Source organism: Homo sapiens, chromosome 15 (assembly GCF_000001405.40).
Source record: "Homo sapiens chromosome 15, GRCh38.p14 Primary Assembly".
Classification (NCBI taxonomy): domain Eukaryota; kingdom Metazoa; phylum Chordata; class Mammalia; order Primates; family Hominidae; genus Homo; species Homo sapiens.
In genome coordinates this window covers 23,978,198-24,004,063 of record NC_000015.10, presented here as the reverse complement: position 1 = coordinate 24,004,063, position 25,866 = coordinate 23,978,198, and the positions used below count along the sequence as shown (strand labels likewise).

Here is a 25,866-nt window from a genome sequence, read left to right as displayed (position 1 = left end):
CTGCCAGTGAAAATGGCCCCCTACACCCATCTCCATGGCAGTGGCCTCCCCACCCACATTGGTATATCCAGTTCCACCTCTGTTTGAAGGGAGTAATCCAGCATTGCCTGAGGAAAAGATAGTGGACTCCCCTGAAGCAGTTGCTGAGGAATGCAGTGCTGCTTCTCCTCAGACCCCACACCCACCACTTCCTTTTTGCTTCTGGATCTGTAAGTAGACTCGAATTCCAACAGTCCCTTAAAAATGACATACAAAGTTTGACCCACAGGAACTTCATTACAGTCCAAGAAAACTATTTGAGTTTTCTAATTTATACAAGCAGAAATCTGGGGAACACATGTGGAAAAGGATATTAAGAGTTGGGATAATGGGTGGAGAAAACATAAAGTCGGATCAGCCCAAATTTATTGATATGGACCCATTAAACAAAGACACTGGTTTTAGTGCTGCAGTATGGGGAGTTAGAAAGGGCTCTAATTGTTTGGTTGGCTGAACCATGAATCAAAAGATGGCCCTCCTTTATCCAGTTGGATGTGTGTGATCTCCCTTGGCCTATGTGGAGGAAAAGATTCAAAGGCTTAGAACAAATGGGACTCTGGAATGCACTTGTCATTTGAAATTTACTCACCTACTCTGGGAGTGTCCAGAAGACACACCTTTCTGCAATACTTTGAGAAACAGATTTGTGAGGGGAGCCCAGCATCCTCGAATAACCTCCTGCTTTCTCTGTAGAATGAAAACCACAGTCACTCAATAAAAAATTTAAATGCATTGAGAATAAGTGGATCTCAGGAGTCCCAGGGCCAAATGGCAGCTGTCAACCTTCAAAGTCAAGGTGGGCATAGTTACCGTTAACAGTCAGCAAAGGTAAACCAACAGTCAGGTCAGTCTGACTCAATTTGATCTATGGTGTTGGCCAGAAAATCCTGGTACTCTTAGAAGTGAAATACGTAAGAGCCTAATAAGTTGTTAATTGATCTGAATATACTGAAAACATTCATGTTAAGTTTACAGAAGTTTAACTCAAAACAGAAAAGTAGAGAATCACAGCCCCTACTCAAATCCCAGATTAGAGCCAGTTTACAGTCAAGAATTCCTTGAAGGAGGGAGCAGCCAGGTCCCCTTGATGAAGGACCCAGGTATACCACAAAAGCTTTTATTCTGTTAATCTTTCTCCTATCCTTCCTAAAAGGGGACCTACAGCCTTTTAACAGGCTGTGTTTCAGGGAAAGGAAAATAGTAAGAACTTTGGGGAACTACTAGACACCGGCTCCGAGCTCACATTGATTCCACAAGACTCAAAAACATCACTATGGAATGCTAGTCAGAGCAGGGGCATATGGAGGTCAGGTGATTAATCAAGTTTTAGTCAGATCAAATCACAGTGGGTCTAGTGGGTCCACAAACACATACTCTGGTAATTTCCCCAGTTGCAGATGCACAGCTGTAATAGACATAGTTAGCACTAGGCCCATTTCCCACATTGGTTCCCTGACCTGTGGAGTGAGGGCTAGTAAGGTGGGAAATCCTAAATGGAAGGCACTAGAGCTACCTAGGGAAATAGAAAATCAAATTCATAACCACATCCCTGGAGAAATTTCAGAGATTACCACCACTATCAAGGTCTTGAATGATGCAGGGGTTGTGATTTCACCACACACCTGTGTAATTTGGCCTGTGCAAAAGACAGATGGATCCTGGAGAGTGACAGTGGATTCCCATAAGGTAAACCAAGTGTTCCCTCTAATTGCAGCTACTATATCAGACATTATATTATTGCTTGAGAAAATTAACACATACCCTGGTACCTTGTATACTCCTATTGATCTAGTGAATGCTGTTTCTCTGTTTCTCTCCATAAGGTCCATCAGAAGCAGTTCAATTTCAGCAACAATGCCAGTAATATACCTTCTCTGTCCTACCTCAAAGGTGTATCAACTCTCCTTCACTAAGTCACAATTTGCAGAGAAGCTGATCACCTTCCCCTTTCACAAGGTATCACACTGGTCCATGGCATTGATGGCATTATACAGATTCAACCCAGTGGATGTGCAGTTAACAACTACTCTGAAAATATTTATAACATATTTTCATTTCAGAAAGTGGGAAAATCTCTTAAGAAGACAGCTTTTGCCAAAAGCAAAATGCAGTACTTCATGGCCCTATGCCAGAATAACGGACTGCAAAAGAAGTGTAAATTGACTTCCACAAAGATAAAACCCAGAGAAGGCAAGCAAATATTTCCTGAATTAGACTCTCCCCATGAAGTGCCTTATGATACCTGGTCCCTCCTGAGACCTACAGCCTCCTTAACACCAGTAGCTGCTGTATCAGACATGGTATTATACAGCAATTGCTGTAGGTGACACACCGGCTCCCTAGCAGTAACCCCCAGGGAAGTGTTCCTAAAAAGAGGAGGATATCCAGGATGGCTTGAAAACTCCCAGAGACAAGAGATTTTTCCAAAAGCCATAGCCACCCAGGTAGTTAAGGAGGCCCATGAGAGCTGAAATTATAGTACAGAACCCTGTACAATTGGCTCCTTCAAATGATGACCACTCCTAACCTTGGAGAGACAGCACAGCAAGCGACCAAGATTTGCTCTCTCTGCCAGACTAACAGCCCCCTAACAGACCACCCCCAAGGCCTCATGTTAAGCCAGTACAACTCAGGGAGTTTACCCTGGTGAGGACTGGCAACTATACTTTATAGTCATGTCCCAGACTTCTGGGAACTTTAGATACCTTCTAGTTGTGGGTGATATCTTCCCAGGATGGGTGCAGGTGTTCCCAACTCCCACTGAGAACACCTTCTAGGTAGCATGCCTTCTCTTAAAAAAATTTTTTCTGGCCGGACACAGTGGTTCACGCCTGTAATCCCAGCACTTTGGGAGGCCGAGGCAGGTGGATCACGAGGTCAGGAGTTCAAGACCAGCCTAGCCAACATGGTGAAACCCCATCTCTACTAAAAATACAAAAATTAGCTGGGTATGGTGGCGTGTGCCTATAATCCCAGCTACTTGGGAGGTTAAGGCAGAAGAATTGCTTGAACCGAGACCTGGGAGGCAGAGGCTGCAGTGAGCTGAGATCACGCCACTGCACTCCAGCCCAGGCTACAGAACAAGACTCCGTCTCAAAAAAAAAAAAAAAAAAAAATTCCTGGCTGTGCATGGTAGCTCATGCCTGTAATCCCAGAACTTTTGGGCCAAGGCAGGTGGATCACGAGGTCAGGAGTTCATGACCAGCCTGGTCAAGATGGTGAAACACCATATCTACTAAAAACATAAAAATTAGCTGGGCGGGGTGGCGGGCACCTGTAATCCCAGCTGCTAGGGAGGCTGAGGCAGGAGAATCGCTTGAACTCAGAAGGTGGAGGTGGCAGTGAGCAGAGATGGTGCCATTGCACTCCAGCCTGGGTGACAGAGCAAGACTCTGTCAAAAAAAAAAAAAATACCTTATGTTCGGGCTGACTAAAGCCATACAGTGACAACAGGCCAGCTTTTATATCTGAAATTATGCAAAAGTTAGTCCAAGGCCTAGAAATCCCCTGAAAACTCCACACAGCATGGAGATCCCAGTCCTCAGGAAAAATAGAAAGAATCAACTAAAGCTTAAACAGAATGTTGGCTAAACTGTGCTGGGAAACCAACAAAAACTGGCTTCCTCTCTTACCATAGTTCTCCTTAGAATAAGGACTGCACCCCCCAAAATAATTTTAACTGAGTGCATTTTAACTCGGTGTTCAATGTATGGGAGATCAATCCCAGAGGCAACCACAGGGAAGTGGTTGAGCCTACAGGAACTGGAACAACTAAAATATGCGTTACATATTAGGAACGTGGCCCGTGTTCTTGCAGCTTATAGAAACCAGGATTCTCCATCACCGACAGACCTGGTTCTGCATCCTTATGTCCATCGATATTAGGTATATCTGAAAATCTGGAAGGTTCAAAGTCCAGAGAGGCAATTAGGTCCAAAACGAATGGGGCCATACGTGGTGATTCTGACAACACATGCTGCCTTAAAGCTTCAGGGAGTCACCCCGCAGCTTCATCACACATGAGTGAAATGAGTGGATGCACCAGTGCAGTAAATTCCCTCGTACCAGGCTTAACCCATCTCAGATTTAAAATTGCTCTTCTGAAAAACCAACCTGACTCCCAAAAATATAAGTACAGGATACTTTGACCCATCTAAACGGTCGCTGCTGTAACACTTAAATGTCTCTACCCGCCAGGAGTGTTCTTGTGGGCTATCTGATGGCATTAGGGCTTGTCCTGTAGTCCTCAAAGCTGGTCTCTGGCTTAGAGATCTGTTTCCTTTTATTCCAGATCATCTTGATCATGTATCCCTGACTTGTGGCCCTCCTGGCATCTTGATAGAAAATTACATATATCTTAACTATACACCTTCAGGACTCCCTGATAGTCCCACAGTGTTTCCTTGAACTATCTCACCCTCTACCTCCTCATCTCTTAGCCACCTCAGGATACTTAAGCTAGGTAAGTAAAACTTTACTCTGACTTTTTCTTATACCACTTGGTCCTTTTAGTCCTCAACATCCAAGGGTCTCTGGGACACCAACACGACAGTCAAATTTTCCCATATTACATAGCCAGTGCAAACAATCTGTCTGAATGCTATATAACCACAGGTACCCCAAGACTGGGGGCGCAGGGCCCAGTGTGTACCTTCGGGAAGGTGGTTTCAACCTTAGAATGCTGCCATGGAAATCTAACCACCTACACCTGTTGCTGTCTACCTGAGAAATTCTCAGCATATGGGTTGCATGGATCCCGCTCCTAAAATCAACTACTTTTGTAGTCTAGCACTCACCTCAGGAAATGAAAAATATTGTTGACTCTACTATGCACCCCCTCCTCCAGCAATATTTCCAGCTCCAATAAGAAATATAAATTTCACCTGAACTCAAGAGGGCCCTCTGTCATTGTCAGAAGACTTCCCCTCCCCCTTGAGGCTCTCAGTTACTTCATGGGCTAAACTTCCGCATTCCCACAAGGGTTTGTGCATCCCCAAAGTATGTGGTCATTTGCGGCTCTCCTCACCACCACCTCCCTAACAGCTCCTCTGCTGCTACTTTTTCCTCCCCATTGCTAGTGGTAGATCACCCTGCTGTAGATAATGAAATACATATAGGACAATGTACAACAGGTGTTATGGAATACAGTGAGATAACCATTCATAATACAACCTGCCATTACAGTAGGCCAAAGATGAGTCTTGGGATGCTCCTGGCTCGAGGACTTGCTGTAGAGTTGGCTGACCCGTGAGTGGGGAAAAGCACTGTACGTACATGAGGATACCCTAATAAATACAACCCAAACAAAAAATCTAGCAAGTAATACCAGGAAGGTTATTCAAAATATACAACCTTCTTTCAATCGGCTAGCTAATGTAGTGCTGGACAATCAGTTAGCCTTAGACTAGCTCCTGGCAAAATAAACAAGAGTATGTGTGATCACCAATACCACTTGTTGCACCTGGGTTAAACCCTCTATGGAGATAGAAGCTAAAATAAAGCAAATATTCAAACAAGAAGAACGGCCTCACTCCTTTGTGTTGACCAAGAGCAGCTCTAAGGACATCTGGAGTGCAATAAAGAGTGTCCTGTTCAACCATACTTTGTTCCTGCTTGGCCTGCTGGTGATGATCCTGTTTTTAATCAATTTTTGACCCCAGTATTCAGGTTAAGAATGAGACTGGAAGCAATCAAGCTGCAGAGGGTAATCACCCAGGGATATGAGCAATTGGGGTTGCAGCCTAGAGACAATCAGATCTACCTTAGAATAGCAAGGGAAAGGTTTTGCTCCTCTAATTTATCAAGTGACAACACCCATAAACATCAGGAAGTAGCTCCAAAAGTTGGACCCCTGCCCCTCAGCAGCCGTCAAGAATGAGGAGAAAATAAACAGAGGTCATCTAGGACAGTCCTGATGAAATAACTGGGAATGTTCCTTTTTCCTACTCTTTTTCTTAAGTTCCTTATTTATAGGCACAGCTGCTGAAGGAAACCAGATGGCCTAGGAACATGCCAGAGCATCCTGACACCTGACCAGATACAGAGAAAGATAAGACTCTATGAAACTGAAGGAGTCTGGAACACGCAACCTTAAGTTACCTTCAGGTCATTAACATATTATTATAATGTTAAAATTCCCACCCGTAAAAGAGTATCTCTGCTATTCTGTGCATATGTGATGTATGAAGACATATGTTTACAAATTGAGCCTGCACATCTGGAGTCCCACCCCACACATGCTAATATTCCTTTCATTCCCCCACAGCTAGTCCTTAAGAACCCCATGCCTTTTGTTCATGCATTTAAAGAAAGAGCTTGCCTTCTCCAGTCGCTGGCCATCAAATAAAACCTAAGTGTCTTTTTCAATTAAATGTTCTTTCTGTACAACTAATCAAAAGTGAGGAAAGAGCCCAGTTTACCAGTGATACCTACAGGTGAATTCAGAGGAGGCCCTTCAGATTTTGCAGCAAGGCCCTGCCATCATCCACAGATAACTACTATTATTTTCATAAGCAGCTCTTGGCTTGTCACTGGGTCTTAACAAAAATGAAATGCATGACTGTGGGCCATTAAGTTACCAGGCAGCCTCAGCTGCCCATTATGAACTGGGCATTGTCTGTCATACCAAGACATAAAGTTGGATGTGCACAGCACCATCATCACATGAGACTAGTATATACAAAACTGGTCCCAAAAAGGCTGAGGAGGCACAAATAAGATACATAAAGTGTCCAAATACCCATGGTCTCCACTCCCATTACACCGCCTTCTCTCTAGAAGCATGTATCATGGCCTCAACTACAACCAGTTGAAGAAGAGAAGGCTAGAGCCTCACTTACTGACAGTTCTGCACAATATGCAGGCATCACTCAAAACTGTACAGCTGTGGCACTACAGCCCCTATCTGGGCCATTGCTGAAGTTTAGTAGAAAAGGGAGATCTCAATCAGCAGAATGTTAAGGAGGGCATATAGTTGTGCACTTTGCTTAGAAGAAAATCTGCTCAGAAGTGTAATTATACAATGATCCAAGGGTTGCAGCCAATGGTTAGGCCAGATGGTCAGGGTCTTTAAAAATACATGATTGAAAAATTGGTGACAAAGCAATTTGCAGGAGTGGTACAGGAATAGACCTCTCTGAGTGGCCAAAAATTTAAAACATCTGTGTCCTATGTGGATGCTCACCAAAGGATGGTCACCTCAGCAGAGGAGGACTCTAATCATCCAGTGGATGGGATAATGCACTCTATGACACTAGTCAGTTTCATTCCCCACCCACCTGTGTCATCACCCACTAGACTCATGAATAAAGCGGCCACAGTGGTAGGGATGGGATTATGCATGCACACAGCAACCTGGAATTCCACTCACCATAGCCAACCAGGTTACAGCTCCCTCTGAGTGCTCAAACTGTCAGCAGCAGAAATTAACACCCACTGAGCCCCTCATATGGCACCATTCCCCAGGATGATCTGGCAACTCCCTGGTGGTAGGCTGATTACCTTGGGCAGCTTTCATCAAGGAAGGGGCAGCATTTTGTCTTTCCCTGAATAGTAAGATAGTTACTCTTTCTATAAATTGAAATTTATAGAAATTTAAAGAAATAGCACATAATTATTCTGTGAAAACTACCATCCATAGACATACAGAATACCTTATCTACCATCATGGTATTTCACACAGCATCACTTCTGAACAGGGAACTCATTTCACAGACAAAGAGGGGCAGAAGTGAGTTCATGCTCAGAAACTTCTGTGAGTTTACCATGTCGTCTGTAATCCTGAAGAAAGTGGCTTGATAAAATTACGGGATGTCCTTTGGAGACTTCGGGTCCAGCACTTGCTAGGTGACAGTACTTTAGGAGACTGTTGCAAGGTTCTCTGGAAGGCTATACGTCCCGTGAATCAGCACCCATTATATGGTGCTGTTTCTCCCCAAACCAGAATTTACATATAGTTCAGGAATCAATAGATTATAATGAGAATGGCCCACCTAGCCACTTTCAAATCTTCAGGTCCCTGAACCAACAGCCTAAGAAGGGGGGTTGCACTGTTGTTTGGGGTAATTGATCCAGATTACCAGGGGGAAATTGGACAAGTACTCCACAATGGAGGACAGAAGAGTATGTCTGGAATACAGATCTCCTTGTGTCTTCTGTGTTTGAAATATTTGTCCCCTACCAAACTCATTGTGAAATGTAATTCCCAGTGTGGCAGTTATTCAGAGGTGTGGCCTTTAAGAGGTGTTTCAATCAATCATGACTGGCCTGCCCTCAAGGATGAATCCATTCATTCATGGATACATAAATTAACGGGTTATCATGTGAGGGCCATTGGTGGTTTTGTTAAAGGAAAAAAGACCTGCATTAGCATGCTCAGCCCTGCCAGAAATAATAAGTTCCTCTTCAAAGCTTTCTTGGTCTTTCTGGCTCTACATACAGCCTTTTCTGCTTGATCTGTAACAAGCATGTTTCTCTCCTTAATCTTTAACTAGCAAATCTATTACTCTGTAAACAACCCTTCGCTGTGCCCAGACATGCCTTGTATTTGTTCTGTAAACAACCCTTCCTACCTTAGCAACGAACAGCCTCTCCCTTCCTGCCTAATTAACCATATTCAATTTCCAACAGTAGCCAATCAGGTTAGCTTAGATTGTGTGGTCTAACTCCAGCCAATGGGGAAAGGACATAGCAACAGAGATTGCATTAAGGATAAAAACCCCTGCCCTACCCCACTCAGTGTACTCTTGCCATTAGACAGACACAGGCAGCACCCTTCTGCAGAAGCAAATGTGCCTTGCTAAGAAATTTTCTAAGTGCTCCTTTTTCTTAGCAACACCAAGCACTTGTTTCTAACAGCCCCCTAACCAGCTGATATCCTGCATGTCATGAGGACTCTTTAGAGAGTCCCCACCAGCAAGAGGCTCTCACCAGATGTGGCCCCTCAGCCTCGGACTTAACAGCTGATGTAAGTTATCAGTGTATTATCATAAGAAATACATTTATTTTCTTTATAAATGACCCAATATTTTGTATCCTGTTATAAGCAGAAAAAAGGGACTAATACAGAAAATTGGTAATAAGAAATAGGTTGCTGTTGAAACTGAGTATCTAAAAATGTGAAAGTGGCTTTCAAACTGGGTTGTGGGCAGAGGCTAAAAGAACCTTGAGAGGCAGACTAGAAAAACCCTGTGTTCTTGTGACAATTCAGAAGACAAAAAGACTGGGAAGTATTTGGAAGTCCTTAGAGATTGATGAAGTGGTTTTGACCAGACTGCTGATAAAACTATGGAGACTAAAGGCTATGCTGACAAGGTTTCAGATGCAACTGTTATAGGAGTTATTAAGCAAATACAGTGGAAAAGGGGTCCTTGGAAAGTTTGTGTGTCTTTTAAAGCAGCTCCAGAAACGTTTCTTGTCTAGCAGGAAAGCCCTGGCTCTTAGAGCCAGGTCTGCAACCTTTGATATGCAAATACGGGCCATTAGAAACTGAGTCTACCCAAAGATGGTGATTCCTGCCCTCTTCTTCCTTGCCCCCACATGTGCCTGGCAACATGGCCACCCCCACATATCCCCATGTGTTAAAACATCATGGTGCTCTGCATTTGCATATTAAAAGTCTAGGGTGGGAGGGCCAGTTTTTTTGAGGGCTACTTGAGTGACTTGCCTGGTCAAACCCATCCCTTGAGCCCTACGCAAATCAGACACCACCTCCTCCAGCCTACTCATATAAGCAGCCACTTTTCCGTGGCACATGGGGTCTCCTCTCTTGGATTTGGAGCTGCCCTCCCTCTGTTTTCTTTCTTTTCCCTTCTTGCCTATTAAACTCTCCACTCCTTAAAACCACTCCATGTGTGTCCATGTCATCTTATCTAATTTGGCGTGAGAGAAGAGCCCTAGTGTTCCTCCACTCATCGGAGCTGTATCACAACTAAGGAAAAACAATATTGGAAACTAAAGAACATCTCTGTTAAAAATTGGCAATTTTGTCTTTTGTTGCCATTGCTTTTGGTGTTTTAGACATGAAGTCCTTGCCCATGCCTATGTCCTGAATGGTATTGCCTAGGTTTTCTTCTAGGGTTTTTATGGTTTTAGGTTGAACGTTTAAGTCTTTAATCCATCTTGAATTAATTTTTGTATAAGGTGTAAGGAAGGGATCCAGTTTCAGCTTTCTACATATGGCTAGCCAGTTTTCCCAGCACCATTTATTAAATAGGGAATCCTTTCCCCATTGCTTGTTTTTCTCAGGTTTGTCAAAGATCAGATAGTTGTAGATATGCGGCGTTATTTCTGAGGGCTCAAATGGGATCTAATTAAACTAAAGAGCTTCTGCACAGCAAAAGAAACTACCATCAGAGTGAACAGGCAACCTACAAAATGGGAAAAAATTTTTGCAACCTACTCATCTGACAAAGGGCTAATATCCAGAATCTACAATGAACTCAAATTTACAAGAAAAAAACAAACAACCCCATCAAAAAGTGGGCAAAGGACATGAACAGACACTTCTCAAAAGAAGACATTTATGCAGCCAAAAAACACATGAAAAAATGCTCATCATCACTGGCCATCAGAGAAATGCAAATCAAAACCACAATGAGATACCATCTCACACCAGTTAGAATGGCAATCATTAAAAAGTCAGGAAACAACAGGTGCTGGAGAGGATGTGGAGAAATAGGAACACTTTTACACTGTTGGTGGGACTGTAAACTAGTTCAACCATCGTGGAAGTCAGTGTGGCGATTCCTCAGGGATCTAGAACTAGAAACACCATTTGACCCAGCCATCCCATTACTGGCTATATACCCAAAGGACTATAAATCATGCTGCTATAAAGACACATGCACACGTATGTTTATTGCGGCACTATTCACAATAGAGACTTGGAACCAACCCAAATGTCCAACAATGATAGACTGGATTAAGAAAATGTGGCACATATACACCATGGAATACTATGCAGCCATAAAAAGGATGAGTTCATGTCCTTTGTAGGGACATGGATGAAACTGGAAATCATCATTCTCAGTAAACTCTCTCAAGAACAAAAAACCAAACACCGCATATTCTCACTCATAGGTGGGAATTGAACAATGAGATCACATGGACACAGGAATGGGAACATCACACTCTGGGGACTGTTGTGGGGTGGGGGGAGGGGGGAGGGATAGCACTGGGAGATATACCTAATGCTAGATGACGAGTTAGTGGGTACAGCTCACCAGCGTGGCACATGTATACATATGTAACTAACCTGCACAATATGCACATGTACCCTAAAACTTAAAGTATAATAATAAAAGAAAAAAAATTTGGCAAATAACTTTGCTGAACTGTGTCCATGCCAAGGGCTTTGTAAAGACACTGACTACTGACTGAAGAACTAGGTAATCTGGCAGAAAAAATTTCTAAAGCCACAAAGTGTTCATATTACTTCTAAGCTGTGTGTGTGGTTACTTCTAACTGCTTAAGGTGAACTGCTAGAGAAAACACACACAAACACACACACACACACACACACACACACACACACAGAAAAATTCTAAAAATTTTCAGCCTAGCCATGTGGTAGAGAATGAAAGAGCATTTTCAGGAGAAAAATCCAAGGATGTCGCAGAGCCATAGCTTGCCAGAAATTACAATGGCTAAAGCACAGCCAGCTGTTAGTAGTCAAGACAACGGGAAAGAGGCCCCTACAACCATTTCAGTCATTTTCTAGGCTGCCTCATCCATTGCAGGCCGACAGGCCTAAGGGGACAGGGTGGTTTCTGGGGACAGCCTGGGCCACTGCCCTGCACATTGTTAGGATGTTGCTCTGCTCATTCCAGATGCTTACCATAAACCCAGGTGGAGCTTATGTCCCAGAGCTCTGGGAGGTACAAGCCCTAAACCTTGGAGGTGTCCATGTGGTGCTAATCATGTAGGCTTACAGAAATGAAGATATGTAGAGGCTTGGCAGTTTCTACAAATTTCAAAGGATTTCTCTGAAAGCCTGGAAGTCCAAAAAGACACTTGTCACAGGGCCAGATCCACTGAAGAGAGTCCCAAATAGAGGGATGCCAAACACAAATGTGGGGTTAGAGCTACTGCAAGGGGTGCCCACCAGGGCAATGCTAAGTGAAGCCACAGCAGTGAGGTCACTGCAGAGTTCCATGTGGGTAATGCTTAGCAAAGTTGAGGAAGTGGTACCACTACCGGGACCCCCCAGAAATGTGTAGTCACCTACAGCATGCAATGTCTGCCCTGGAAAACTTCATGTACCTGACTGCAACCTGTACAAGCACCCACGGAGAATGTACCAAGCAAAGCCATAGGAGTGATAGTACCCGAGGGCCTGTGAGTCCAACCTTTACCCCAGTGTGTTCAGGAGTCAGAGAAAGAGTCAAAAAAATATTCCCCAGCTTTAAGATGTAATGGTTGCCCTGCTCGATTTCAAATTTGCTTGAAGACTGTTACTTTTTGTCCATTTCTCTCTTTTAGAAAGGGAATGTGTACATTATGCTTATCCTGAAATTGCCTTTGCAAAAATGGTAACAGAAAATTATGACAGTGAAAGAGAGATGACCTAAGTTGACGCCATCTTGCCTTTTAACCTCTAAGCTGCCTTTGTTCATTCCTGGGAAAAGGCCAAACTAACTTTGGGAGGAATTTAGTTGCTAGCTTAACTTTGAAACGAAGATGACAAGAGAACCTCCCTGAAACAAATCCCCTCATTGTTTGGGGACTAGACCACTCCTGCAAACACACGAAAATAACCACAAGATTAGAAAGTATTACTCAGGAGTCATAAAGCCAGAGGCCACAAGACTATTAACCTCCCCAGCGGCTCCTATAGATAACCTATTAATACAGTAAAACCTAAGATTGTAGTTTGAGGGATTTTTCGGACCTTGTATTCTGATGAATCAGCTGGTGCTTCCCGAAACAGTAACCTGTCTCATCTGGACTTGTGGCCCCCACACAGGAACTGACACAATGCAAGAGGAGATGTCCTCCTGTTGCCTATCTGTCCTCCTATCTGCTTACTATAATTTCATCTCTGACCCAAATAATCTAAATTCCCCATTCTCCAGCCTCCTGCATTCCAAATTATCTACAAAAAAATCCTAACCTCAGATTTTTTTGGAAGCTTGCTTTGAGTAATAATATAAATCTTGTCTCTTGTTTACCTGGCTCTACAAGTATCAAACCCTTTCTCTATAGTAATTCCCCTCTTGATAAATTGGCTCCATCTGGGCATCAGTCAAGATGAACCCATGAGGCCATTACAAACTTAGGAGCTCATAGGGATATATCCCTTGTGTTTGCCAATCTCTCACTAGTGGCAGATCTGGAGAACAGCCCAATTTTCTGCCTAGTTCTCTTCAAATAAAGGCTGTCTCTGGCACTGTATCTACCAGCAGGGTGCTACTTACCCACAGTGTATGGATCTAACTGGAATAGAGAAATAATTCCTGGAATGAAAAATGTTAGCTGGTTTGGTGAGTATTCCACTTCTCCTGATCTGTTGGCCCCTCTAGAGGCATTGCAGCTCTATCATGGGAACTGTCCAGCTCTCCCTAGATTGCAGGAAGAGGCTCTGTTGGCCTCAAAGGTACTGTGGCCCCATCATGGGGTCTGCCTGTATCTCCCTGAATTGTAGTAAGAGTCTTGGTTTGAGGAGATTTCTCTCTCCAGTTGGAAGGGAATAGGGGACACGTTTGGAGGAATACTCTTCTGGTTTGGATTTGATCAGAAATTTTGGTTTGGAAGGCCTTCTGTTTTTCTGTATTTCATTGAGGGAGTTTGCATGTATGGAGGAGATCTCTGAAGAAATTGTTGATGGAATTACTGCAGGCTTTCCTAGTTTGTCTGATCATTCGGGTTTAGTGAGCGTTACAGGAACTGCTAGCAGGAGCTGAATAGGTCTAACTGAGGGTGACCATCCACCCTTCCATGTTACCTGGGGAGCACCCATTGAAACTACTTTTTGGAGGTCATCTCTCCCTATCTTGAGTGGATCAAAGATGACAGGGGCCAATGGCAACAAGTTAAAGCTTTGCCAAATCAATACTTTGATGGTGAGTGGGGTGATTAGTATCTGTATTTTGTCACATGCATTTTGCTCTGGCCAACATGAGGAGTGTTAATTTGGTTCCCATTGCGGCCCACTGGGTGGCATCTTGCAAAATTTTGTAACACAGCTTGGCCCCCACAGATATGGTGCAGAAAACAGGGTCATCAAAAGTTGCTCCATTCTCCTGGAAGCTGCAAAGGGAACTTGGAAAACTGGCAAGCTAGCAAAAAAGTAAAAATTTCTTACCAGCCAACCTCTCCCTGTGCAAAACCAGTGGAATGAATTGTAAAAGTCACTGTTTGTCTCCTCTGCAAGTTTTGATTAGAAGAAAAACAGATCTATGTGACTAAACTTTTTGTCATTCGGTTGTCAATCTGTCATAGAGAGGAGTACCACAGAATAGAACGTAGGCCTAAGACCCCTAAAAACTCAGTGTTTGAGCTGGCCCTGCGCACTGGTTAGTTACAAACTTTCTTGCAGGTTCCTGAAAAAAAAAAAAAGTGACATTTTCCTCTTTTCTCATTTTTTGTCCTTGAGAACTTAACTTTGTAACCATGTGAGAGTACTGTCCCTTTTTCTCCCACATATGGAGGGTTGGAATTTTTTATTCATGTCAGGCACCCAGTCTGAAAGGACACATTGAAGTCACAGCTTCTCTATGTCTGTTTATTGATATGCTTCATAAGTATAATATTTCACTACCAAAATATTTAAAAGAGCTCTAATGAATTGGCATGTCTATATAATGCACTTAAATATTTTATCACAAGAAAATTAACTACATTGCCTTTTAGTTCACATGACTCTAATAATCTGTGAATAATAAAGACAGTTTTATAGATTATTGGTAAAATAAAATTAAAATGTCTTCAATATTTAAATATTTGGTCTAAATTAGGCAGGTCAGATACTGTCTTTGCCAAATGATTTAAGGTTATAAACTGCTTCTGAGACTTTTTATAATTGCCTAATCTGCCTGCATTAGAGGCATTAGCTTCTAGATAAGGACTGGGGGACATGTTGAGTTAGCTATGCCCTGTAACTATGCTGGAAAGGGTCCGATATTATCTACAGTTCTGTCCTGTGTCCTAGGCTCTGTACTTGGTACAAAATTAACACTGAGTTCACTAAAAATAAAAGTTGTTAAGACTCTACATTGTAATATACATAATTGAGACTACTGAAAAAAGATTTACATGAAAGGTATATAAAAATTATATGTTTTGGTAAAAAATTATACAAAGACATAAAAATGTTAAAATAATTTTGTCTAATTTAGAGGATTTTAAAAAATCATCTCAAGTTAAAAAGGAAAACCTGAAGGTTTAAGCAACTTATAGATTTATAAAAGATTGAACTTGTAAAGAAAGTTCTGTGTATGAGCAAGCTGCCAAAATTTGAAGGGGATTAGTTTTTCTTTTTTTTTTTTTTTTTTTTTTTTTTTTGAGACAGAGTCTTGCTCTGTCATCCAGGCTGGAGTGCAGTGGCACGATCTCGGCTCACTGCAAGCTCCGCCTCCCAGGTTCACACCATTCTCCTGCCTCAGCCTCCCGAATAGCTGGGACTACAGGTGCCCGCCACCACACCCGGCTATTTTTTTTAGTAGAGATGGGGTTTCACCGTGTTATCCAAGATGATCTTGATCTACTGACCTTGTGATCTGCCCACCTTAGCCTCCCAAAGTGCTGGGATTACAGGCTTGAGCCACCGTGCCCAGCCAGGGATTACTTAGTTTTTCTACAGAATAAACATTAAAATAAAATGTACACTGATATAGGCCCAGAGTCTGCAGCCCTGTGTGTGATAAATGGAGTTTTCATGGAGCATTAATCTGCTCTTTAGTATACAATTGTAAAATGCCATAAAATATTTATGAAACTCTTACTTTATAATCAAACTGATTTAGATTAGATAATGTGTTTATAAGGTTTTATATAAAAATTGGGTTTAATATTAATAGTACACTAATGAAGCAGAGAGAATAATAATAACAGAAATAGTAAAAATGAAACAGTAATGACATAGTAATAGTTTCTTCCATAGAATGCTAAGCCTGGGCTAAGAGGGCTATAGGTAACCCCTACCCCGAAAATGGAGTTAAGACAGACTATTAATTGCCCTTCTGTGAAACACTAACCATATCTACCCTCTGCAAATTTTGTAAGTTCCTGTTTTTCTAGCTGTGCAGCTGCAAGGCCACAAGATAAGCACAAGCTGCAAAACATGTTTTTTCCCCAAGATGTAAGACATGTCACAAGAAGATTAACTGCTTTTGTTCTCACTTCTGTAAATCTGCTTCCCACTTCATGTTTTTCCTGCCCCAAATGCATAAAAGGCACGTGCTTTCTTTGTTTGATGCTCAGACTTTCTGGATGCAAGTCCACTGAGCTGGTGTACACCTTAAACAAACCCTCCTGAACCCCTTCGGTCTCTCCAGTTCTCTGATTTTCCCGCTACACTAATGCAGAGGTAAAATTTGTTTTTTTTTTTTCTTTGAACAAGGCTTTTGTATAATATTGAAGGATAATAAAATATTTTTGTTCGCCTTTTAAATAAACTGAAAAACACCGAGAGAGAAGAGACAGATGTGGTCGGCCTCATGCTGTCTTTATTGGTTCTTGTTTGGAGAGATGAGTCTCCCTTCTCTATCAATGAGTAGAGATTTTTGACTTTTTGAAATTGAGTTATTTTCTAAATAAATGATGTGTGGTTATCTGGGATTCCATTTTGTGATATGAAGTGTTTTAAACCTTTAATATTTGAAAAACTTTGAAAAATCAAATTGTAAATTAAGTCTTTTTTTTTTCTACCTAATTAACCTTTTAAGTATTGGGTCCGCTGAACTCCAAAAGACGTATTTGCCTTATTTGGTATATTGACCACACAGAAAACATTGTCAAATACAAAATGGTGTTGAATTTTCTTTGCATTATATTTATATAAATGTAAATATGTATTCCAAAATTATGATTCCTATAATCCTCATTTCATTGTGATTAGTAATAATTATGATTATGTTAAATTATTATGTGCCACAGAGATGACCAGATTTTCTTGTTGACTGTGTCTTTAACAATGGCTGTCCTCATCAGGCATGGTGGCTCATGCCTGTAATCCCAGCATTTTGGAGGCCAAGTATGGAAGATTGCTTGAGCCCAGGAGTTTGAGACCAGCCTGAAAAAGACCTCATCTCTACAAATAAGTATAAAAATTAGCTGAGTGTCACCCAGCATGGTGGCTCATGCTTGTAATCCCAGCACTTTGGGAGGCTGAGGCAGGTGGATCACCTGAGGTCGTGAGTTTGAGACCAGCCTGACCAACATGGAGAAACCCCAGGTCTGCTAAAAATACAAAAAATTCGCCAGGTGTGGTGGCACATGCTTGTAATCCCAGCTACTTGGGAGGCTGAGGCAGGAGAACTGCTTGAACCCAGGAGGCAGAGAATACGGTGAGCCTAGATCGTGCCATTGCACTCCAGCCTGAGCAACAAGAGCAAAACTCTGTCTCAAAAAAAAAAAAAAAATAGCTGAGTGTGGTGGCACTTGCATGTAGTCCCAGCTACTCTGAGGACTGAAGTGTGAGGATTTCTTGATCCCAGGAAGTTGAGGCTGCAGTGAGCCGTGATTGTGCCACTGCACTCCAGCCTGGGTAACTAACTAAGATGCTGTCTCAAAAAAAAGTAAAAGTAAAATTAAAAATCAATGGCTGTCCTGAAACCTTTGTCATCCACAGATAACTGTTGCATTATTTTGATCCTTTTCAAAAAGTGATTTGCTTTATGAAAGGTTCTTTGAATACAGGTTTCTGATAGAGACTGTGCCAGTGAAATAGAAAAAACATACTTTCATAGATAGCTGATATTTTCATGAGGACTACTGGCCCAGTGTCAGGCAGTACAAGAGTTAATTACATGGACTGAACTAATAGGAGACCGAAGTAATCCTTTTATGATTTGTTGCTTAAAATGTTGTTGATCCAGCCAGGTGTGGTGGCTCACGCCAGTAATCACAGCACTTTTGGGAGGCTGAGGCAGGCAGATCACCAGGTCAGCAGATCGAGACCATCCTGGCCAACATGGTAAAACCCTGTCTCTACTAAAAATAAAAAAAAAAAATAGTTGGGTGTGGTGGCAGGCGCCTGTAGTCCCAGCTACTCGAGAGGTTGAGGCAGGAGAATTGCTTGAACCCAGGAGGAAGAGATTACAGTGAGCCGAGATGGTGCCACTGCACTCCAGCCTGGAGACAGAGTGAGACTCTGTCAAAAATATATATATATATATGTTGCTGATCCTTTTGTTGTCGCTGTTTTTCAGTGTCAAGGAAGCTTTTTTGTTTGGAGAGCCTTTTTGTTGTTTTTCAGTGTCAGCTGAGCTTTTAACAATTGAGTTTTGTTTTGAGCTTTTAACAACTGAGTGAAGTATACTCCTGTGAGTAAAATTTGAAGCATTATTTCTCTCTGCCTGGTTTCTCCAGAATTTGAAAATTGTTTATTTTTTTTAAACATATGGATAATTCGTTATTTACATTTAAGAATCTGTTTTCTTTTATAACAGGAAACAACTGGATACACTGGTTATTTTACCAAAATATGCCTATTTTACCAGTGGAATGACATACTTTCACATATAAACAGACTGCCTTAAGGAATTCAAATTGACTAATAGAAATGATGAAAGCCCTGGGGGGGAATCTGGCCTCATACCTTGTCTGCGCAGTCTTTGTACAGGGTTCCTGACCAGAGATAGGGAAAAATGTTACTTTCTGACAGGTCTACGATCCCCATGTTATCTTGGGATGTCAAGAAGAGAGGAATTCACCCAATCCATACACGCATTTGTAGACACAGATAAATCCATGGGTTGACTCAAGGCTTTTAAAAATGTCTAATCTAAAACAAAGTTCCAGCAAAGCCAATTTAGAAACAGCTAATATGGCAAATAATTATTCTTGCTTCACTTTATGCAAATAATAAGGCTAGGTATAATAATGCCAAAACTTATTTTGTAAATAAATGTGTCCTACTATGATGTGTCTTTAATAAAAATGAGAACTAGAACAAGAAAAATTATATTTCAGAAAAATACTATAGCAGACCTGTTGTTAAGATTCTAGTCTTGCCCATTGTTTTTGAGCTTTTAATTATTTTCTGCACTTTGGAAAACTCTGAACTCTTTCAGAGCCAAATACCCCCAAACTAACACTTTCCAATTTTTCTTCCATTTTTACTGACCTGGACTCAATGAAATTGCTATTACCTCTTTCCTGAAGCCCTGCACGCAGATGCTTATTTCTTGTGATACAGGTGATTTGAAAATATGTCAGACTGCCATTGCCTTAAAAATATTTGAGTTTATCATGTGGATACACTGTGCTCAACATTAACCTTTGTAGTTTTTTTCTATTTCTGTTCAAATGCCTGTTATTAAAAATTTTTTCTGCCTTCATCACAAATAGAGGCCTAGTCCATCTGCAATTCTACTTTCTAAAATGAAACATAAATATTTAACTGAATGAATCTATTTGCAGGACTAGGAAATTAACTAAAAAGATGTGGAATGGTATATATAAATTTACTCTTTCCCATTTATTCCAATTTGTCTTTCTAACAACTTATGGCTCAAATCTATCTTGACTACTGACCCCATGTCTGACTGGTTCTTGGGGCTATTCCCCTGAATCCCTCAGGAATTTAGATGAATTATATAAGGACTTCTGAAGCTCGGACTTCTACTTCTTACATTAGGACTCATTGTCCTACAGTCTGCTGCTCACTTAAGTGCTGTACTAAAATTGTGGATGAGCGTACTAACATCTTTGTCATGCAAGCCTAGGAACCCCAACGAGGCACCTGTGAATACATGCAGGCAGCTGCAAAGCAGTTTCATTCCATTTACCCTGGGGCCAAACCCTATCCCAAGTACAAGCCCTGTTGGCAGGAAGAAGTTAGTCTTCAGCCTCTTCCCAACTGCCTGCCTCACACCTTAAGAATAATGTGCAGTAAAACCCCAAAAAGAGAATTGAAATCATCTTTGTAAAAACTGTAACACTGACAAAATTGTGACAGTGAGAGGGATGACCTAAATGACTTCATCTTGCCTTCAGCCTCCAAGTTGTCCTTGTTCAATCATGGGCAAAAGTCAAACTAACTTTGGGAGGAATTTATTTTATAGCTTAACTTTGAAACAAAGATAGTAACAGCTCTTTCCTGAAACAAAACCGCTCATTGTTTGGAGACCATATTGCCTTTGTAAAACTCACAAATTAACTATGGGGTTATAAAGTATGGCTCAGGAGTCATACATCCAGATGCCACAATATTACTAACCTCCCCAATTGCTCCCATAAATAGCATTACTATTGTAAAACCTAAGATTTGTGTTTGATATATTTTTCTGATCTTGCATACTGATGGATCAGCAGGTGCCACCCAAACCAGTAAACCGGCTCATCTGGACATGTGGCCCCCATCCAGGAACTGAGTCAGAAAGAGAAGATGACTTTGACTTCCTAAGATTTTATCCCTGACACCCACCAATCAGCATTCCCCTTTCCCTAGCCCCTTGCATGCCAAACTATCTATAAAAACCCTAGCCTCTTAATATCTGGGGAGGCTGTTTGGAGTAATAAGAAAACTCTGGTCTCTCCTTTAGCCAGCTCTACATGTACTAAGTTTTCTCTACATAGCAATTTCCCTGTCTTGGTAATGTGGCTCTATCTGGGCAGCAGCCAAGATGAATCCATTGGGCCTTAACAATCTAATCACTGAATTTTGTATGAAGATAACTTGTTTTGATTTGTTAGGCTGACAGATGAGACTTTGGATTTTGGAACTTTCGGTTGGTGCTGGAACAACTTAAGCCTTGAACTATAGAAATGGAACAATTTTTTTTAAGTGACAGGGCATGATTTTTAGAAAGCCAGAAGTAGAGGGCTCTCCTCACAAACTCATGTTTAAACTTCATTCCTAATGTGGCAGTCCTGAGATGTGAGACCCTTAAAAGATGACTGGATCATGAAGAGTTTTCCCTTATGATTAAGTTAATCCATTCATGGATTAATACACTGATGAGTTTTAGAATAATGTGTTATTAAGACAGAAAAACTGATAGCTTGTAAGAGGGGAGACCTGATCTTCCATGTTAGCAAGCTCCACTGCATTGCCATATGATACCCTGCATGGCTTCAGGACTCTTTGGAGAGTCCCAAGAAGCAACAGGACTTCACCACATGTGGCCCCTAAACGTTCCACTTTTCAGCCTCCATAACTGTAAGAAATATATATGTCTTCTTTATCAACTACTCAGTTCCAGGTATTTAAGTAACAGAAAATGGGCTAAAACAAAGTCTCTTAGTATTACTACGACCTGTTATTAAGTTCAATGGAAAACTACAACCATTCCCGGCAACAGTACAAATGGTCCAGATCTTTCAGGAATGAAGGTCTGCATCACCCTGCCAGGTAAAGACCTCAGACCAGCTGAGGAGCTTGCTGAACACAAAGAGAATACAGAGTGGGGAGCAGTGGAAGGAATTTATAAATACCAGTTAGGACCAGGTGAACAGTTACAGAAACAAGGATTAAAATTATCACTAGTATTTCCTATCTACTTTAAGAATACATTTGTGTGTTTATATACATATATTAGGCAAATAACTTTGTTTTCATCCCTCTCTTCTTTTATCACATAACCCAAGAATGCATTGATCTGATAGTAGCAGTTAAGTATTAGTAATTTAACATATTTGTATTGAAATTATGGGATATCAGAATAGTAAACTTCACCCACAAACTTTTACTACTCTAAAAAAACAGATTAGTATGTTTTGGTTGTATACAGAATAATTGCATCATGTTGCCTTATTACTGTCTGTATTTGGAGATTAGTATGGCTTAAGGTGATACATATAGGTGCCAGGTAGAAAGGTGATGGGCTTTTCGTGGTTAATTTAATGTAGATTAAAGAATACCTAGAGAACTGATAAAGCATTACTTCTGGATGTGTCTGCCAGGGTATTTCCAGAGGAGATTGTTGTGTGAGGGAAGGAATTTAGTGAGGAAAATACACCCATAATGGAAGCAGGCACCATACAATCCCCTTGATGACCCAGTATAACCTAAAGTGAAAGTTTTAAAAAAGCTATCTCCCTCTCTCTCTCCCCCAATCCCTGCCCACCCCCTTCGGCAGGTACACTTCTTTTCCTGCCCTTGACAGAACTCTGAATTCTCTGACCTTGAAACTCCAGGACTTTTAAGAGGGAAACCTGTGGATTCTCAGGCCTTTGGTCATAAACTGAGAATTACAATAAGGGCTTTCCAGGTTCTGAAGATCTCAGGCTTATAGCCATGCTGTAACATTCTACAGTCTTAAACTTTACAAATGGGCCGGGCACAGTGGCTCATGCCTGTAATCCCAGCACTTTGGGAGTCTGAGGCGGGCGGATCACGAGGTCAGGAGATTGAGACCATCCTGGCTAACACGGTGAAACCCTGTCTCTACTAAAAATACAAAAATTAGCTGGGCATGATGGCGCACGCCTGTAGTCCCAGCTACTCGGGAGGCTGAGGCAGAATAATGGTGTGAACCTGAGAGGCAGAGCTTGCAATGAGCTGAGATCGCGCCACTAAACTCCAGCCATGGCAACAGAGCGAGACTTCGTCTCAAAATAAATAAATAAATAAATAATAAACTTACCAATGGCTGTCCTGGGAATTCTCAGCCTCTATAATCATGTGGGCGAATCCCCAAATAAAAATGCCACTATTCTATTATCTTGCTATCAACTATCTATGTATTGATCTGTCGATGTATCTAATCTATCTACCTACCTATCCTACCTACCATTTGTCCTGTCTCTCTAAAAAAAAAAACTGAGAAATACACCCATAAAGGCTTCAGCCGACTGGCCCATTACCCTGTCTGCTGTAGTTGCTCCCCCACCACCCATACTGTTTGTGAGTGTGTGTCCCGGAGAGCTCTTCCCTTCCTATTGCTGCTTCAAGGAATGCTGCCCTCCACTCTTTGATTGGTTAATAATAATACATTACTAATGTCATTATACACCTTTTGTTGAGTTACCTCCTCTGTGTGTCGCTTTACAAACACATGAAGACCTCACTTTTTTTTCCCCAGGCAGCACTCTCCTAGAGAGTGGCTATCTTGTTAGAAATAACACACAGGTCTGACAGGAGCTACAAGGATGTCTTCCAGTAAAAGCAAGTATACTGTGTGAGAGAAATACCTGGATGCAAGTTGGATTATTAGGCTTTAGGCCATCAACCAAGTTGAATAAACATCCCATGAAAAGCATACCCTGTACCAAAGCCTGAGTTCTACTGGGCAAGGCTATAGATTATAGCCACTACCCAGAGACAGACATCAATAACAAACAGAAATAAAAATGAAACATACGCTATGAGATAACTTTACAAACTGTAATTCCAGGAACCCATTGAGAGAAAAATAAAAATGGCAAAGCAGTACTTGAAAGTCTGTGCTGGAGTGGTAGCTCTTTAAATACATAGAAAAATCTGTATCTAGAGAATTGCAGCCCTAAATATAAGCAACGATCTCTGTAACTTACACTCTAAATCCAATTATTCATTTATTTATTATTTATTTAATTATTTTAGAAACCGAGTCTCGCTATGTTGCCCAGGTTGGAGTGCAATGGCTACTCACAGGCACAAGCACTGCACACTACAGCCTAAAACTCCTCACGTCAAGTGATCATCCAGCCCAACCTCCCAAGCAGCTGCAACTACATGCCCATAGCACCACACCTGCCCAGTTAGAATTTTTAAATCAAGAAAGTTGCATTTCTTTTTCCTCTTTCCCGTGGTCATTTTAATCACATGGATGATGATCATGCAAATCATTTTAAGATCAGTTACTGCACATGTAGATGTAGTATAGTTTCCATCTTCTGTGTTGTCTACTTGTTACATAGCTCAAGTGTACTTCTGGATGCTTTGGAAAAAAAATGGACTTTCATGTTCCCTGAAGAATAGAGTGAATAGGCCGGGCGCGGTGCTGTAATCCCAGCACATTGGGAGGCTGAGGCGGGCGGATCACAAGGTCAGGAGTTTGAGGCCAGCCTGGCCAACATGGTGAAACCCCATCTCAACTAAAAATAAACACACAAAAAAATTAGCCCGCCTGTAGTCCCAGCTACTCGGGAAGCTGAGGCAGGAGAATCACTTGAACCCAGGAGGCGGAAGTGCAGTGAGCCAAGATCCCACCACTGTACTCCATCCTGTGAGAAAGGGTGAGACTCCGTCTCAAAAAAAAACCCGAGTGAATAAAATAGAAAATCATATCATTTATATTTTATAACGTTACTGCATTTGTACCATGTGTTTTAGGTTCCACAAAGGCTCAATTAAGTTAACAGCAAGTCCTGATCTCAAATATATGAGCAATGTCTACACTTCTATTTATTTTAAAATTTTAAATTTACAGAAAATTGCTGAGATCTTACATAAAGTTTCATATACCCTTCAACTTTCCGTAATATTAACATCATACATAAACAAGAATATCTGTGAAAACTCAAAAAATTGATAAAGGTATATAGGACTATTAACTAAAGTACTGACTGTCTTCATATTTTACCTGGTTTTCCCCAATGCCATTTTTCTGTTTTTTGATCCAATTCAGGATAACATATTACATTTACCATCAAGTGTATTATTGTTTATTGCAGCATAGCCAATTACCATGTAGCTTAGTGGCTCAAAAGCATGCACACATTACTTACAGTTTCTCTGGGTCAGAAATCCAGATGTAGGTGATGGCCAAGGCTGAGGTTTCACCTGAAAGATGAGATGGGGATGCATCATCTTCCAAGCTCACATGATTGCCCAGGTTGAGAAGACTTCACTGGTGAATTACTCCAAACCTTTAAAATATCAATAGCAATTTTTCACTAACTGTTCTCCAAGAAGATAAAAACCATAGAGAAGAGACCAGTAAGCAATGCATTCTGTGAGACAGTTTCCTCTGATACCACAACTAGACAAAGACAGTCCAAAAAAGGAAAAATTTAAACCAATATACTTTATGGATACCCAGGCAATAATCCTCAAGGAAATAATTTCAACACAAATCAGGATTATGACACAGGGGTTATATGTTACACAAAGGTATTAATTTACTCAAGATTGCAAATTTGGTAAAACATATAAAAAGAATTATTGTAATACATTATATCAATATAATACATGATAAAGCCTCATTATCACCTCTAAGGATGCAGAATAAGCACTTGACAAATCCAAAATCCACTCACAGTAAAAACACTAAATGACTTTTTCATAGAATGAAATGTTCTTTACATAAAAATGTCATTTATGAAAAACTCACATAACAATAGTATCAAGAAAGTCTCAGTAATTTCTCGAAAATTACAAACATAAAAAGGTTATCTACTCCCACTAAAAATTATTCTTTAAGATTTAATTGATAAAACTAGCCTAGACAAATAAATTTAAGACTTCCAGATTGAGAAGGAAGAAATCAAAGTATCTCTATTTCCCAGTAAATAATCTAGTGTATAGAAAATCCTAAAGAATCCACTAAAATGAGATAGGAACCATTAAAAAAGTTCAGTAATCCTGTAGGATGCAAGATTCATGTAAAAAAATTGCACTCTTATACAATTGATATGGTTTGACTCTGTGTCCCCACCTAAATCTCATCTGGAATTGAAATCCCCCTGTGTTGGGGGAGGGGCTGAGTGGGAGGTGACTGGACCATGTGGATTGTTTCCCCC

At 41.1% G+C, this 25,866-nt stretch overlaps 1 long non-coding RNA gene across 1 annotated transcript in view; it reads right to left on the bottom strand.

Annotated features, from left to right (window-relative positions):
- PWRN4 (Prader-Willi region non-protein coding RNA 4) overlaps nt 1-25,866 on the bottom strand; it is a 113,008-nt gene that overhangs the window by 84,091 nt on the left and 3,051 nt on the right. The window contains exons 3-4 of the long non-coding RNA NR_126392.1: nt 24,853-24,993; nt 629-726 (exon numbers count right to left, since the gene is read on the bottom strand). This is a non-coding gene — a long non-coding RNA (Prader-Willi region non-protein coding RNA 4). The remainder of the gene's footprint in view (nt 1-628; nt 727-24,852; nt 24,994-25,866) is intronic.